This window comes from Homo sapiens, chromosome 12, assembly GCF_000001405.40.
Source record: "Homo sapiens chromosome 12, GRCh38.p14 Primary Assembly".
Taxonomy (NCBI): domain Eukaryota; kingdom Metazoa; phylum Chordata; class Mammalia; order Primates; family Hominidae; genus Homo; species Homo sapiens.
The window spans coordinates 91,405,748-91,420,892 of NC_000012.12; the positions used below are offsets into that span (position 1 = coordinate 91,405,748).

At 37.2% G+C, this 15,145-nt stretch overlaps 1 long non-coding RNA gene across 1 annotated transcript in view, besides 2 other annotated features; it reads right to left on the bottom strand.

Moving 5' to 3' along the window:
* Positions 1-15,145, bottom strand: part of LOC105369896 (uncharacterized) — a 361,170-nt gene that overhangs the window by 129,523 nt on the left and 216,502 nt on the right. The gene's annotated exons all lie outside the window — the stretch shown is intronic.
* Positions 470-1,669: an enhancer, noted in NCBI's record as "P300/CBP strongly-dependent group 1 enhancer chr12:91799994-91801193 (GRCh37/hg19 assembly coordinates)". NCBI's record gives its function as "activates an origin of replication core promoter dependent on BRD2, BRD4, P300/CBP, MED14 and CDK7 cofactors, with strong dependence on P300/CBP, by STARR-seq in HCT116 cells {active_cell/tissue: HCT116}" and the evidence as "EXISTENCE:reporter gene assay evidence [ECO:0000049][PMID:35650434]".
* Positions 1,138-1,457: an enhancer, noted in NCBI's record as "active region_6717". NCBI's record gives its function as "activates an Ori minimal core promoter by ATAC-STARR-seq in GM12878 lymphoblastoid cells {active_cell/tissue: GM12878}" and the evidence as "EXISTENCE:reporter gene assay evidence [ECO:0000049][PMID:35858748]".

The window sequence follows — 15,145 nt, forward strand, 5'->3', positions numbered from 1 at the left end:
AGATGGATCCTGAATAATGAACACTGCAAGCTCAACCAATTACTTGTACTGATTGTAGCTATTCCATGAAATGTAGAAATACTGCTAGAGCAGATTAATAAGGCCTCAGGTCTATGGCATGTAGATTTTGGTTTGACAAATGCATTATTTTGTATTCCCATTAGTAATAAATTTACAAACAGTTTGCATTCATGTGCAATAATGTTCATTTAGAGTTTTGCATCAGGCCTGTCGTAGTCCATTTGTGTTGCTGTGAAGGGATGCCTGAGGCTGAGTAATTTATTCTAAAAAATAGGCTTATTTGGCTCATGGCCCTGCAGGCTGTGCAAGAAGCATGGTGCCATCATTTGCTTCTGGTCAGGGCTTCAGGCTGCTTCAACTCATGGCAGAAGGTGAACAGGAAACTGCATGTGCAGAGATCACATGATGAGAAAGGAAGCAAAAGATAGGAGAGGGTAGTGCCAGGCTTTTTTTAACAACCAACTTTCACAGGAACTAATAGAGCAAGAACTCACTAATTACCATGAGAATGTCACTAAGACATTCATGAGGGATTTGCTCCTCTGTTATCCAGAAACTTCCCATTAAGGCCTCATTTCCAACATTGCAGATCAAATTTCAACACGAGGTTTGAAGGGGACAAATATTCAAACCATAGCAAGGGCTATATTAACTGCATTCGCCTCCCACAACATACTATAGTCATCTGAAGAACTCTAGACCACTGAGACATCCAAGGAACAACATATGGATCCATTATGTTGATAACATCACATGGATTGGACAGCAAGAACAAGAAGTGATTGTCATGCTAAAAATCTTGGTAAGACAATATATGCTTCAGAGAAAAGGAGTTAAACCCTATGAAGATTCTTGAACCTATCATTTCGATACAGTATTTAGGGGATTAGTGGTTGTGGCTGTGCTAGAATATTACCTTGAAAATAAACGGCAAATTGCTGTATCTTGAATTTCTTACAGCAAAAAAGATAGCATGGTGCCTGATAGGCCTCGTAGGGTATGGTGACCACACATTATACACCTGAAAATTCTGCTCTGGCCCATTTGCCTGAAGTCATTGAAGGTTGCCTGATTTGTGTAAAACCTAGAATAGGAAAGATCTTCATAGCATGTCCAGTCTGTGGTGCCAGCAGTGCTGCATGTCTTAACAGATCCTATGGCATTAGAGACACCTGTGGTAGGAGAAGATGCAGTGTGAAGTTCCTGACAAGCACCACTGGGAAAATCACAATACAGGTCTCTGAGAACCTGGACTAAGGCCATGCCATCCAAAGCAGAATGTGGCTGGAATTCCCCGAGGTAATCCCCAGTGAGTCATGTCTTTGTACAATCTTATGAATGTGGGTAGAACTTGGGATTTCCTTCTTAGCTAATAGACTCTGGTAAAATTACAGCATAATTATCCCTTTGTTAGGCTATGCTATACTGTGAAGGTGATGAGATAGTCACCCTCTTGATCATGTTACATTTTATTGACTCTGTCTCAGCCAACTGGAGTAAGCCCCTCCTGCTGGCTCTGAAGAAGTAAGCTGCCATGTTATGAGAGGGCCTTGTGGCCAGGAACTGGGGGTATAGCCTCTAGGAGCTGAGAGTAGTTCCTAGCTGACAGCCAGCAAGGGATCTCAGTGTTACAACTGCAATAAACTTAATTTCACCAACAACCTTGTGGAGTTGGAAGAGGATTCTGGACTCCAAACAGGCGCACAGCCTGGCTGACATGATCAAGGACCCAGCTAAGCTGTGTTCAAACTCCTGTCCCACAGAAACTGTGAGAAAATAAATGTGAATTCTTGTAAGCCACTGAATTTGTGCTAATTTGTTATGCTACAATAGGTAACTAATACACAAAGAAATATATGCCTATTCAGAAACAACTTCTGGCATGTTACTCTGCTCTCACACAGATAGAATGCTTGACCATTCTATCTGTGTCAAAACATCTAGAACTTTTCAATATCAGCTGGATTTTGCCAAACCCAACAGCTTATAAAGGTAGACTGGCCTCGCAATGCCCCACTGTCCCATGCAAGTGCTACAGCCAGGATCAAGCCCAAGTTGAACTGCAAAGCATGTATTACCTACATAAGCAGGTAGCCTAGAACCCTGTGTCACCTACTACACTTGTCCTCGTGTCCCTCTCCTAGCTCTGACCTATTTCCATTTGAAGACAGGGTGGAGGTATCCCACAAATCATCTGAAGGGTGAGGAAAAGCCCTGAGGTTGGTTTATAAATAGTTTGCCTTGGTATATGGGTATAAACCAAAAATAGATGGAATCTGCATTACAGCTACAATCAGGGATGCCTTAAAACAGAGTAGACAGAGAAAATCTTCCCAAGGGGCAAAACTGTGAGCACAGAATCTAGTCATTCACTTTTTTGATGAAGGATAAATGGCCCAAGGTAAGAATGAATAGAGATTTCTCTTTTCTTTTCTTTTCTCTTGCTTTTCTCTTGCTTTTCTGTTTTTTATTTTTTTACTCACTCTGTCACACAGGAGTCTGTCACACACTGTCACAGGAGTGCAGTGGCACGATCTCAGCTCACTGCAACCTCCACCTACCAGGTTCAAGCGATTCTCCTGCCTCAGCCTCCCAAGTAACTGGGACTACAGGCGCATGCCACCATGCCCGGCTAATTTTTTGCTATTTTTTTAGTAGAGACGGGTTTTCACTGTTTTAGCTAGGGTGGTCTCAATCTCCTGACCTTGTGATCTGCCCGCCTCAGCTTCCCAAAGGCTAAGCCATCACACCTGGCCATATATAGAGATTTCTGAGCAATGTTCAATGACCTGGCCATCTGATCAGGAGCTTATAAGAAAAAGGATTAAAAGATAGGTGCCTAGGAGATTTGAGGGAGACAGAAGTGGATAGACATACGGAGTGGAAATAAAATACAAAGAGTTTTGTACCATATGTTAATTCCTACTAGAAAACATCCAACCTAGAAATGGCACTGAACAACTAAGTTAACGAAGTGACTTATCCAGTTAATGTTCATTAGCCTTCATCACTGGCTTCCCTGAAGCTGGTATAGTCTCAAGTAAATGAACCAATCACCTGCAGATATTGGAGGGACAACTATATAAGTAAAGGACATAGATATATTTAAATGAAAAGACTAGGGAGTATTTTGCTTTGGAAAGTGATTTAGCCCAGTTGACACAAAATTATAAAATAGTAAATTTTTGTTGATTAGGGGAATAAACACAATCCTTTCAAACCATTTCCACCAGCACTCTGAGCTGGTGCTTCAGCTGGGTCTTTAGAAAGAAGTTCGAGCTCTCTGAGTCCAGTTACTTTTGGATTGTGTGGTATGTGATGTCGTTCATTGCAACACCTTCTTTGATGTGAAATCAGGACAATAGTTTGATATTTTATTTGGGATTCAGTGCCGGTGGATCAGGCTTGGCTCAGATGTCCCTTCAAGAAAGAATCTGCCACATGTGGAACAGTTAGCTCACCACTCTGGCTGCCCTGTTGGTAGGATTTGCTTCAGCTTCTAGTTGCTGGCTTGCTTTCTCTCTGCTCAATATAAAGTGCTGTGCATACACATAAAGTTGGAAAAATAGACAGGCTGATTTATTATTAACATATAACAATATAAAGTATTATATATATATTATACATATATGATTGGAAGTGGCTTGTCAGATGTCTCTGGCTACTGCTAGCATACAACATACAGCTTCCTTGTTAATATTTTTCCAAGAAAGTGCTACTCATTTGCATTTCAACTTGTTTCCTTTTGTAGACTTGGCAACTGAAAGGAAATGTGCATTTAATTGAAACTTTTCTCTTTAGAACATTGTTGATCAAGGAAGACAAAAATCAATAAAATAACTTCATTTGGGGGCAAGGAGTATATTATTTGCATTTTGCTTATAATCCCCATATGCCTGACATACCCTGCCTTCTTGCATAATGTTCTTTACTAGACTTCTAATCAATCTTGATTATCAATCATTTCCTAAGTTTTCTGTTTGTTTGTTTGTTTGTTTGTTTTTTGAGAAAGAGTCTCTGTCACCCAGGTGGGGTGCAATGGCATGATCTTGGCTCACTGCAAACTCCGTCTGCTGGGTTCAAGAAGCGATTCTCCTGCCTCAGCCTCCCAAGTAGCTGGGACTACAGGCAACTGCCACCATGCTAAATTTTGAAGTTTTAGTACAGACGGGATTTTGCCATGTTGGCCAGGCTGGTCTCAAAATGCTAATCTCAGATGATCTGCCTGCTTCAACCTCCAAAAGTGCTGGGATTACAGGCAAGAGCCACCACACTAGGCTCCATTTTCTATTTGTTTCTTATTTTTTCATTATTACAGCATTTTAGCAAACTTGATTTGGGATACATATTTTATGCATCTGGATAAATATGTTTAAGAGTTGTAATATTCACTTTCCACATGACTTCTTGCTTACATTAAAAAAAAAATTTTGTTAAACATATTTTAACACATCTGCTTAAAGAGTGAATTTTCTTTTTAAGTTATGTTTTTCTGTATTTTTATCAGTATAAGATTATTGTACACATTTTGGTGGTACATGTGATATTTTGATGCATGTAAACAATGTGTAATGATCAAATCAGGGTAATTGAAATATCCATTACCTCCATCTTTGTGTTGAGAACATGACAATTCTTCTATTTTAAAATATGAATAAATGATTATTAACTATAATTCACTTACTGTAGTATCGATTAAATTATTTTTAAAATTTTACTTGTCTTCTTCCCCTCTTCGTTCCTCACTTCCTTATGATATTTATTTAGCTGTTGCCTAAAATGCTTGCATTGTTATTTTTTCTTTCTTGCCATGTAACTCAGCGGAGTCTTATGGCTGTTAGTCTCAGGGCTTTGATTATCTGCTTGCTCAGGTAAAATTACATAATTCAATGTTTTTATTTTTTTTTCTTTAGTAACTATAAGTAAAACCCTAAGAAGTAGATCAGCTGCACCATGAAAAAATAGTCATCCCTCCTTACTTTTACTATGAAAAGATAGAAAAATTAAAATATATATATATATATATAGTCAGCCCTCTGTATTCATGAGTTCCACATCCACAGATTCAACAATTATGGATTTAAAATATTAAAAAAAATAACAATACAACAATGAAAATAACAAATATATAAAATACAGTATAACAACTATTATATAGCATTTACATTGTATTATAAGTAATCTAGAGATGATTTAAAGTATATGAGAGGAGGTGAGTAGGTTATATGCAAATAGAATGTCATTTAATGTAGGAGACTTGATCAACTGCAGAGTTTGGTATCTGTGGCAGTCCTTGAACCAATCACCTGCAGATATTGGAGGGACAACTATATAAGTAAAGGACATAGATATATTTAAATGAAAAGACTAGGGAGTATTTTGCTTTGGAAAGTGATTTAGCCCAGTTGACACAAAATTATAAAATAGTAAATTTTTGTTGATTAGGGGAATAAACACTTGCATTTTGTAAGGTAGAGGTGTTAACAAAGTTGTCATAAATTAACAATGTTGCGGATAAAGTTAAACAATAATAAGACAATTGTTGGCCTAAATAACATTGTTTAGCCTAATTATATTTTATGTTTTTTAGTATGCAGATAATTTGCCTGATTAGAGGACTGGTGTACCAAAAGGGCTTTTAAAAATAAATAACCTTGGGAATGAGAATCAGCACAACTATAATCCATCACTTTGTCTGCTTTGAGAACTGAAACCACCTACATCCATATATCTTAATTATTAGGACTCAGAACTAAGCTTCCTTGTGTCAGCATGACTTACATGTTTGGTCCAGGAGAATTCTCACCAAGGCAGATATGAATATGGCCAATGAATAATTTTACTATTAGTTTCATGAAATATGTCAAACCAATTTGGGCAAATAGTTTGCAAATTTAAACAAAAGATCTCCTATCAGGACAATAGATTGCTCACCTAGCAAATAGCTCACTTATCAAACATTTTACTTACCAGAACTACTTGAAGACCCTTGCCTCACTGTGTCTACCAACTGTATGCCACAAACCTTGTCCAATACCCATCAATTTTCTATCCTGAAAGACCTACCTTAAATCAATTATAACCAGATCTCAAACCTGATAGATATTTGGATCTGACCTTCTCCTTCAAAGACAGAACTAACCATACAGGTAATGTTGTCCTGTACTGTACTGCAGTAGGTCTGATAAACGAAACTTTGCCTGGTTGATATATTTTTTGTGTGTTTTTTTGGAAGGGGGAGGATGGTGGTAGAGTTGATGAGATAGCCACAGCACTCGTCCATCACTCTTTCACTGCTACCCATACCATTCCTATGCCACTTCAGTTCCATCATACCTAACTGCTTCCAAGAGAAAAGACACATTATAGTTAACAAGAGTACATTTCTCCTGTATGCAGTTTTTCTCATTTTTCTGAATAAGATTCATTTGAGCAAGTAGATGCTTATAGTACAGACTTTGTTAATTCCACACTAACATGAAGGTTCTGAGATATGAACAAGATGCTAGCAGTTACAGTATCTAAACTATATGACCTTGGGCATGTTTCCCAATCGTTCAAGGTCTCAGCTACCTCATCTGTAAAAAAATGATGATAAAAATGACAATGATAATTGCTAATACATATTTGAACTTAGTACATCTGACGTGAGAACTGAAACCAACATACTTTTCTGTTTTTGTGTTAAAAGATTCTGGGGACCTGGTAAGAAATACATAAACATGGGGCAGAAAATAATTGTCCCTGGAAGATAAATGAACTAAAATAACTTGTTTTATAAGACCAACTACTTACTTATTCATTAATACTTGTACCAATGTCCTTGCCTTACTGTGTCTACCAATCCATAACTCTCAAGTCATCAGCTGCCCAATCCTAATTAGTCTCCTGCTTTTTAAGATTCCTAATAGAACCATCAGCCAAAACTATATATATGTGTGTGCATATTATATATTTTTTTCTGAGATTTCCCATTTTTTTCCTGACATATTTTTTTCTGACATTTTCTATATATTTTCTATATAGAAAATTTTCTATATATTTTCTATATAGAAAATTTTCTATATATTTTTCTGTCATTTTCTATATATTTTTTTTTCTGACATTTCCCATTCTGAGATTCTCCTATCCTACTAGAATGGTATTGACCTTGACCACAGTATGTTTAATAAGTTAGGTTCTGCTAGCTCAGCTGGTTTCTAGCGGTTCCATTTGGGGTTTGGCAGATGGCACAGGCCTTATCCTTAGTACCTTATATGCATTAATTTCTTTAATTCTTAAAATAGCCCTATGAGGCAAGTAATATTATTATCCCCATTTTACAAAAGAGGAAGCTAAGATCCCTGGAGCTTAAAAAGCATATTAGTGCTTTTGTCAAAATTAAATATAAGAAGACATACACATACAAAAAGCCCAGCAAAGGTATCTAGCACAAAGTAAGGTTTATGAAATCTGATTACTATTTTTCTGTTATATTGATAATAGAGGAAAACAATAATTACCTTGCCAAAGAGATCTCCACCGTGAATACTTCAGTGCTATGAGAATTGTATGTATTTTTAAAATCCTCAAAATGTTTGATCATAGAGATCTTAGAAGTTGGGAAATTTTCAGCAAATGTTTGTTTCTCACTTGTGCACAAAATAGCATATATTTATAATGGTCTATGTTTATTTTCTAATAAAGCGTTTTACAAAAATCACTAAGTGTATATATTATTTAAATTTTCTTTTAATCCTTGATCTAAAGTGAGACTATGACATTCAGAGAAGTTTTCTGTTATTTCCAGAGCTGCAAATCTAAGTTCTCAGCCACGTATCACCTCCGTCAGGAGTCAGCAATGGTTTTCTGTAAAGAGCCAGGTAGTAAATATTTTAGGCTTTACTCACCATGTGGTTTCTATTACAACTATTCCACTTTGCTACTGTAGCACAAGAGCAGCTGTGAGTGATATGTAGGGGTGTGGCTGTATTTCATAAAACTTTATTTCCAAACACAGTTGGCAGGCTGTTTCTAGTCTGTGAGCTGTAGTTTGCTGAGGGCTCTTCTAGATGTGACTTTGAGAGCTTCCATGGGGTCATGTGTTTTTTATCCTCTTTGATTTCCTGCTAAGGTCTGACAGCCCTGAGATGCTCATTCATAGATACAGCATTGCATCAACATTTAGATACGCTATCACTAACTTTTCTCGGTAGTCATGACATTTAATATTGTACTTGGGTGACTTCTGTGACAAAATAAAGATATTGTGAGTAAACTCTAGCTGGAAAACAACAACTACTTTACTGTGAGGATCTGAGAATCTAATAATACAATGCTGATGTCACCTGGGGCTCTTCTTCAGAGAAGGCAGTCACTCTACGAGCTTAGACAACAATTTCCCTGAGGATAAAAGAACTGTTTTGTCAAATTCAGCACCCAGTGTGGTTTCATTATTTTAGAATATAAAACTGTTTGGTGATTAACTTTGTTTACACTTGGCAAGTATTGCTTCCTTTTCTGAGGGGGCAAAAGACAAAAAAGCTCATAAAAATTTTAAAAAGCTTTTGACTTCAAATAGTTCTTACAAAACTGCACTTGGATGAGTTAAGTGTGGAGGAATCAAAACCATATGGATTATACTTCTTTTAAAATAAACACTGATTTAAAAATTGAGGGAAAATTCTTAAACATAGACTTTCGTCTTCACAGACTCCAAACAGTCAAAAAGCAACTTTAAGAAATTTGATCAACCCAAAGCACAGCTGGGTTTACCCATTCTTAATTATAGTGTTTTCATTGTATATCATGTAAAAATAAACAGCCTCAGGAGTGGGCTACATTCAGCTATTTTAAAAGAGTGTGGGGGCTTTCATTTAGCTCTACTGCAACTTTTGTCCAAGCCCTGGATTTGAGGTAAATTACATATGGCATTTGAAATGCTAAAATGTTAAGCACTGTCACTCATCATATTTTATTTTTTAATTGTCCAGTCATTGACCCCAGAATTAACAAAATGTTGAGAATTGCCTATTTGAAATTATCCTAAGGTGACTTATCCTGACTAGATTTTCATCTAAATGCTTAGTCATCAAAAAATGTGAACCTGGTACCCTTATTTAGTGAAATAACATTTCTGCATGGGGTTAATGCTCATCACATGCAAACAAAATCAAGTTTTCTTAACCACAGTCTTACTTCAAATGAAATCAATTTAGCTATTTATTCATTCCCTACCAGGGTTCAGGAACTTTGCTAGGCACTGAAAGTTCAAAAACAAAAAGATATCTGGTCTCTTACAGGAACTCAAGAAACAAAAGGTGAAATGTAGTTAGGCAAACTATTGCAATACAATGCAGCATTTGCTATAACACATGTAAATCATGGAAGAGAAGACCTGTTTCCTGGAGGACAGGGTGAAGGCTTCTTAGACAAAGGGAAATTTGAATTGGGTCAGTAAGGGTTTCCCTAATGAAAAAGGTAAGCAAGGCATTCTGTGTAAAGAGAATTGGCAAGAATCTAGAGTGTCTTTGTGTGACATAGAGTATAAGGTGGAAGGAGGAATGGCCAGAGATGAATCTAGAAAGTCAGGCCACAGTCACATAGAGAAGGACTTTGTAGGTTACACTATGGAGTCTGGAGTTTATGGTCACTATCAGATACAGTGAGAAAGACAAATTTCATAGCTGTTTGGAGAATAAGTTTTAGGACTGTGTGTGTTTATGTGTGTGTGTGTGTGTAAGAATGGAGGAAGGGTGGAATGCAAAAATAAAATAGGGAATCTTGTTAATATTCTCCAAAAATGCATACTGCAAAATGTAACATAGTTACACAAAAATGTAAAATAAATGCACAAAAAGTCACAAGCCAGTTTTGGCAAGTGCAATTGCTATAGTGACTTGAGGATAGCCTCTACAAAGACAGGAACCAAGGCTGACTTACTGACTGCTTTGTCCAAGCCCTTAGCATAGCACATGGAACATAAGTTGGTAAGCAGCAAGAATTTGTCGAGTGAATGAAAGACAAGTGTGAAGGTCATATTGTATTGATATGAGCCAATGTAATAAGTCATTAATGAACCTCAGAAGATGGAAGATTCACAGGGGTGATACCTGGGAAAACATATCTGAAAGGCAGCTTCAGATTTTTCAATCCATTTACATCAATCTGGAGGGGAGGAGAAAGAGGTAGTCTGTCTCCTCAAGGCTGGATCAATAGCTGTTGGGGCAGCCTCTTAATCATGTTACCTCCTATGTGCTGCTCACTCAGTTTCTATTCGTTCCCCACTGGTGCTGTGTTCAGACTTCCAAAACTGCCCTCCTAGTTAAAGGGAGCAGCACTGACCTAGGAAAGAAGAGATATTCTGTCTTGTGAACCATTAGTCTCTTTCTTCCACCCCTTCCCTTAAGTGACACACTCACCCTTTACATTAAGGATCTAAAAGCAGCATAGGACAGAAGAGGGAACACAACCATTATTGACTTTGACCCATTTTAGTTATATGAGGTTAGCTGAGCCTCAGTTTTCTACTTAGTAAAATGGGCACAAAAATAATGACTAGTATGAAAAGATTTAATTCGATGAGATCACGATTCTGAGTAAGCACTCACTCTCTTAACGAGATCTCTCCTTTCCCATTCCATAGGCTGCCATGTGCCAGCTCTTGTCTTCCTTTCATAAGGGAAGGGATATATCTTCAGGTATAGGCAATTAAATGGAAACTCATGCTCAGCTTTTCACCATTAGAGAACTTTGTTTGTAATTGTGAAATCAATTTATTAGTTTTTTTGTTGAAGAATAATTGCATGAAAAGTCACCTACCACTTCCAAAAGTGAATAACAATGTTCAAGAAGACTGCAATGTAAAGCTTTAATTAAGGCAGAAAGGTGCTTTAATTCTGCAAGGGCACAAGCCATGTGAAGTGTGTAAGTAAAGACTGTGTCTCACAGACCTTCAACAACATGTAGCACTATCGGCCAAGAGAACAGACACTGCTTTGCGATGCCTCCCACAAGCCAAGACCAGTTACTTACTGACCAGGCCAGGAAGGCAAAAGCAGGTCTTCCTGGAAGATTCAAAATTCTTCTGATGGTTAGCATTCACTCAAGGATTTCTGACGCCCTGGCTGAACATTCTGTAGATGATCTGGCAGTTTAGAACATGTCTTCTCAATTTCTCCTTTGCCAGGGATCAGACCTGCATTTTTTTTTTTTTTCAAATTTCCCAGCTCTGTCCCCATTTTCTCTTACAGTTGTGTTCTCTAATGCAATTTCTGCATATTTAATCCCATCTCAGTATCTGTTTCTTGGAGGACTGGAATAACATACTAAAAGATCCCCATGAGAGTTATCTTCTGCTCCAAATGGTTATTAATTTCTTCACCTTTGGCCGGGCGCGGTGGCTCACACCTGTAATCCCAGCACTTTGGGAGGCTGACGTGGGCAGATCACAAGGTCAGGAGATCCAGACCATCCTGGCTAACATGGTGAAACCGTGTCTCTACTAAAAATACAAAACATTAGCCTGGTGTGGTGGTGGGTGCCCGTAGTCCCAGCTACTCAGGAGGCTGAGGCAGGAGAATGGCATGAACCCGGGAGGCGGAGCTTGCAGTGAGCCGAGATCGCACCACTGCACTCCAGCCTGGGCCACAGAGCAAGACTCTGTCTCAAAAAAAAATTTCTTCACCTTCAAAGATCAACCTTGCTAATGATCTTTAAGTGACATTTTACATTTACAGTATGAAACAAACATGTTGTGTGGCCTGCCACAGCTACCACAACTATACATAGGATTACGTCGATTAAGTCTAGACTTTAAGTCCATTTCATAGCCAGTATAGATACCTATCTATCCTCTCCCACTCACATATCTCACACTCTAAAATGATTCAATTTCACCATTCCTCAAACAGTCTTAACCCGCAAATGCTTATGTCTTTGCCAGTATTGTCTTGGGTCTAAACTGATTTTCACAATGTCAGCTCATGAACTCAAGGCCCACCTGAATGGCTTCCTTCTCCTGATACCTCCTTCCATGCTCCCAAGCAGGAGTAACTCCCATACAATTGCTTCTTCTACGGGCATGCCAGTGGCTGAGTAATAAAGCTATTTATAGGTATCTCTGATCACACTATGTATGATTCTTTTTGGTGTTTTGCATAGTGCTTGAGAGTCTGATACATTGTAGGATTTAAGTTCAATAAAAAGCCCAAATCAGCAATATAATATAAAGGAAACAGAATGAATTTGGGAATAGGACAATTTGGTTTAAAATTCCAGATCCCTCATTTATCGGCTGTGTGATTTGAGACAAATCATTTAATTTTCCTGAGGTATATAAAACGGGATAATAGGCCTCATATGACAGAGGCTTTATGAAGATTCAATGTAAGAAGCCTTCTATGTTGCACTCATTCAACAAACTGAGTGCCTACTATGATCCGTGCACTGTGTTACATCCTGAGGATATTTCAGTGAAGGAGAGAGGGTGCTTTATCTCAGAAAATTTTATTTCAGTTATGTAGAAAGACAGTAAGTAGTTAATTTTTTTTTAATTTGCAGATTATCATGACTTTTAGGAAGAAAATAAACAGGATGCTGTGCTAGATAATGATGAGAAGGAGAGGCTACAGACTTCAGGAAGAGCAGCAAAAGTGTCTTTGAAGAAGAGCTGGACAATGTATACCATATGTGCTCCCTATCGGTTAGGGTTCCACCAGAGAAACAGAAGCAGTGTGACACACACACACACACACACATACACACACACACACAAACAATTATATTGTACAATTATTTCTCACCAAAAAGAAAATAAATGTATTTCAATTTTAGACACAAAATCTAATTGCAAACACACATGTGCATATATAGTGTGTGTGAGTGAGTGTGTGTCTGTGTTTATTTCAAGTAATTGGCTTATCATGGTGGTTAGCTAGGCAAATCCTCAATAGGACAGGCTGGAAAATCTCAGGCAGGAGCTGAGGCTGTAGGACACACATTGAATTTCTTTTTTTTACAGGAAAACTTCAGTTCTTTTAAAACTTTTCAACTAATTGGATGTGGCCCATCCAAATTATCAAGATTAATCTCCTTTACTTACAGTCAAGGATTGTATATGTTAATCACATTTACAAAATACCTATACAGCAACACCAAGATTAGTGTTTAATTGAATAACTGAGTATGGTAGCCAATCCAAGTTGACTCATAAAATTGTTCATCACATGCTCTAAGATGTTAATCCCTTAACCATAAATTTCTTAAAGCATACTTTTGAGGATCTGGATGTATAATCAGCTTTTCCAATAGAAATCTCTCCCAACACTTTGGTAACATCTTTCATATCAAAATCACAGTGAATAAGGATTTTAAAATGAAAGACATTTTGTCTTCCTGAAATGTTGTAAGATTCCACACCATGGCAGCTGAGCAGGCTGACCTCTAGGCCATTTATTGTGGTTAAATAGGCAAAAAATAGTAGAAAAGATTTTATTGCTCTAAAACACCCAGCAGGCAGCACAACTATCAAATATCTTTACATACTTATAAGGAAAAACTATATTTCCTTCCGTGTTACCTCACATTTTTGATTCTAGATAAATGATTTAATATTCATTTTATATTAAATACCTAACTTTTCTATATTAAAACTAAATTGAAAACTTATTTTGCAAGTCAATAGTAAGCAAAATGTGAGTCAAAAAGCCCAAGTTAAAAACCACTGTATAAAGTTTGTTAAATACATGTTAAATGAACACAAAATATAAACTGTTATCCCTCTTCATTTATCAAGCATAAATGCTCTTGTGTTTTATTTTCATCACAGAAAAATATAATATTAAATTAATGGTGGCTTGTTTCCTCCCTCCCTCCTGCCTTGGTTCTTAAATGCCGAATAATAGTGTCTACTCTCTTGGTTTTTTAAATGTGGGCCTTGGTGTGTCTTGCCAACTTTTCCCTTGGGAGTTAGGGAGCATCACTTCTGCCAGCACTCCATAAAGATGTGAGAAACCATATTGATCAAGAAAGGCAGAATGGCCCATGGACTCATTGCAATTCATTATTGATTAGGCCACTCTGTCATGTTAACTGGAAACTAATGCTTTCACTTGAGTTTGAAGTCACCCTCCTTTCAGGTGGAGGGAGTTTGGTTTAACCCAACTGTTTTTCTAAGTGCATATCTAGCTCCAAGTCTAACCACAATGTTCTGCCTGTATCCTTAATGCAGAGTACTTCTAGTCATCTTGAACAGGCCAGCTGTAACCCATAATTGGTACTTTGAGGTCCAGTGTTTCCCTCTGACCACACAATGGAAGGTTGGAACAGTTTTGTAATTCAGAGTTATGCTTTCATCAAAGGTGATTTTGCTTTCTTAACACCATTTTCACCCCTGCTCTCTCTCCTAAAATTATTTTTAGTACACATCATAAACCAAAAGTAATCTCATTAGCTGCTCTGAGGAAAATATCTCTCATGTGAAGTAATATGATGCTGAAATTTCAGGATCATTGTAACTGTTACAAAGATGTGTAGTTCAGTAAAGATGATAAATTATGAATTAATATTACATTGAATAACAAAATGTAATCTAATTTTACAGAAAAAATTGGAAACATGGTAGGAGAATAAAATAGATGAGTAAACTGAGGAATGGGAAGATACCAGAATTACTCAGATTCCCCCTGCTAGGCATGGCAATTTTTAATGCCCCATTACTTGTTATTATATCACCAGGTTGGTGTTTTGAAAAGTATTTCTAAATGTTTCTGCAAAACTCCCCGTGGATAAGATTTTTAAGACAAGTATGTTTGATAAAACCATATATCATAACCCCTGCCAAATAATACATAATGCACATTAGTATATTAAAGACTTCACAACAAAGAATCTTGAGTTCATGTTGCCCAAACTTATTTGAATGTCTTTCTTATTATATTTTTATTATTGTTGTATGTATTTTTTAGGCAATTAATAACCTGAGGATGTAGTATTCTCTGGAACACATTTTAGGCAATATTATGCCAGCTTTTACAGCTGGTGTAAAGGAGTTGGGGGCAAAACCAGGAAAATATTGCCCATGGAATTAAATGGGGAAAAGAAGTTTCAAAGAAGGGATAGACAGTAGTGATTCACAGAAAGTAAA